The sequence below is a fragment of the Homo sapiens genome, chromosome 5 (assembly GCF_000001405.40).
Source record: "Homo sapiens chromosome 5, GRCh38.p14 Primary Assembly".
Taxonomy (NCBI): domain Eukaryota; kingdom Metazoa; phylum Chordata; class Mammalia; order Primates; family Hominidae; genus Homo; species Homo sapiens.
The window spans coordinates 45242427-45245065 of NC_000005.10; positions in this window are offsets into that span (position 1 = coordinate 45242427).

The following is a 2639-nucleotide window of genomic DNA, read 5'->3' on the forward strand; positions in this document are numbered from 1 at the left end:
CAGAGTGTTTTCCAACTTGGTTCCATTCTCCCCGTCACTTTCAGGTACACCAATCAGATGTAGATTTGGTCTTTTCTCATAGTCCCATATTTCTTAGAGATTTTTTCGTTTCTTTTTATTTTTTTTCTCTAAACTTCTCTTCTTGCTTCATTTCATTCATTTCGTCTTCCATCACTGATACTCTTTCCTCCAGTTGATCGCATCAGCTACTGAGGCTTCTGCATTTGTCACATAGCTCTCGTGCCTTGGTTTTCAGCTCCGTCAGGTCCTTTAAGGACTTCTCTGCATTGGTTATTCTAGTTATCCATTTGTCGAATTTTTTTTCAAAGCTTTTAACTTCTTTGCCATTGGTTCGAACTTCCTCCTTTAGCGCGGGGTTGTTTGATCTTCTGAAGGCTTCTTCTCTCAACTTGTCAAAATCATTCTCCATCCAGCTTTGTTCCATTGCTGGTGAGGAGCTGCGTTCCTTTGGAGTAGGAGAGGCACTCTGATTTTTAGAGTTTCCAGTTTTCTGCTGTGTTTTTTCCCATCTTTGTGGTTTTATCTACCTTTGGTCTTTGACGATGGTGACATACAGATGGGTTTTTGGTGTGGATGTCCTTCTTTTTGTTAATTTTCCTTCTAATAGACAGGACCCTCAGCTGCAGGTCTGTTGGAGTTTGCTAGAGGTCCACTCCAGATCCTGTTTGCCTGGGTATCCGCAGCGTTGGCTGCAGAACAGCGGATATTGGTGAACCGCAAATGCTGTTGCATGATCGTTCCTCTGGAAGTTTTGTCTCAGAGGAGTACCCGGCCATGTGAGGTGTCAGTCCACCCCTACTGGGGGGTGCCTCCCAGTTAGGCTACTCGGGGGTCAGGGACCTACTTGGGGAGGCAGTCTGCCTGATCTCAGATCTCCAGCTGCATGCTGGGAGAACCACTACTCTCTTCAAACTGTCAGAGAGGGACATTTAATTCTGCAGAGGTTACTGCTGTCTTTTTGTTTGTCTGTGCCCTGCCCCCAGAGGTGAAGCCTACAGTGGCAGGCAGGCCTCCTTGAGCTGTGATGGGCTCCACCCAGTTCGAGCTTCCTGGCCGCTTTGTTTACCTAATCAAACAACTAACTCAGCAATGGCGGGGGCTCCTCCCCCAGCCTTGCTGCTGCCTTGCAGTTTGATCTTGGACTGCTGTGCTAGCAATGAGCAAGACTCCATGGGCGTAGGACCCTCTGAACAAGGTGTGGGATATAATCTCCTGGTGTGCCGTTTTTTAAGCCCATTGGAAAAGCGCAGTATTAGGGTGGGAGTGACCCGATATTCCAGGTGCCGTCTGTCACCCCTTTCTTTGACTAGGAAGGGGAATTCCCTGACCCCTTGTGCTTCTCAGGTGAGGTGATGCCTCACCCTGCTTCAGCTTGTGTGTGGTGCACTGCACCTACTGTCCTGCACCCACTGTCCTGCACCTACTCTCTGGCACTCCCCAGTGAGATGAACCCCGTACCTAAGTTGGAGATGCAGAAATCACCCATCTTCTGTGTCGGTCACGCTGGGAACTGTAGACTGGAGCTGTTCCTATTCGGCCATCTTGGCTCCTCCCCCCAAGGGCTTCAATTTCTTCTTGGCTCTATCTTGGGAGGTTGTATGTGTCTAGGAATTTATCCATTTCTTCTAGGTTTTTTAGTTTGCTTTCAAAGAAGTTTTCATAATGGAATCAGGGATTTTGTATTTCTGTGAGGTTGGCTGGAAGTTGTCATTTCTGGTTTTGTTTATTTCGATCTTCTCTCTCTTTTTTTTCTTTATTAGTCTAGCTAGCAGTCTATCAATCTTGTTTATTGTTTCTAAAAAAGCAACTCTCGGTTTCGCACATCTTTTGTGATGTCTTTCAAATCTCAATTTCATTAAGCTTCGATCTGATTTTGTATTTTTTTGTTGTTGTTCTTCTGCTAGCTTGGGGGTTGGTTTGTTCTTATTTTTCTAGTACCCCTAGATGTGATATTAGGTTGTTAATTTGAGATCTTTCTAACTTTTTAATGCAGGTGTTTCGTGCTATAATTTTTTTCTCTTAACCCTTCTTTAGCTGTGTCCCAGAGATTCTGTGTCCCAGAGATGTTGTATTTTTGTTTTCATTAGTTTTAAACAATTTGTTAATTTCTGCCGTAATTCCATTGCTAACTCAAAAGTCATTTTGGAGCAGATTTTTAAGTTTCCATGCAATCGTATCATTTTGAGAGATGTTCTTGGTATTGGTTTCTATTCTTATTGTGCTTTGGTCCAAGGGTGTGGTTGGTATGATTTTATTTTTTTTAATTTGCTGATAATCGCTTTATGTCTGAAAGTTTAGTTGATCTTAGAGTATGTGCTGTGTGCAGATGAGAATAATGCATATTCTGTTTTTGGGTGGAGTATTCTATAGATGTTTGTTACTTCTATTTGGTTGTCCAGTTAAAGTCCCAAATATATTTGTTAGTTTTTTTCAATGATCTGTCTAACAATGTCAGTGGAGTGTTGAAGTGTCCCACTATTATTGTGTGGTTATTTAAGTCTCATCCTAGGTGTCTAAGAACTTGTTTTATAAATCTGGACACTCCAATGTTGGGTCCATATATATTTAGAATAGTTAAAGCCTTCTTATTAAATTATATCCTTTATCATTGTGCAATG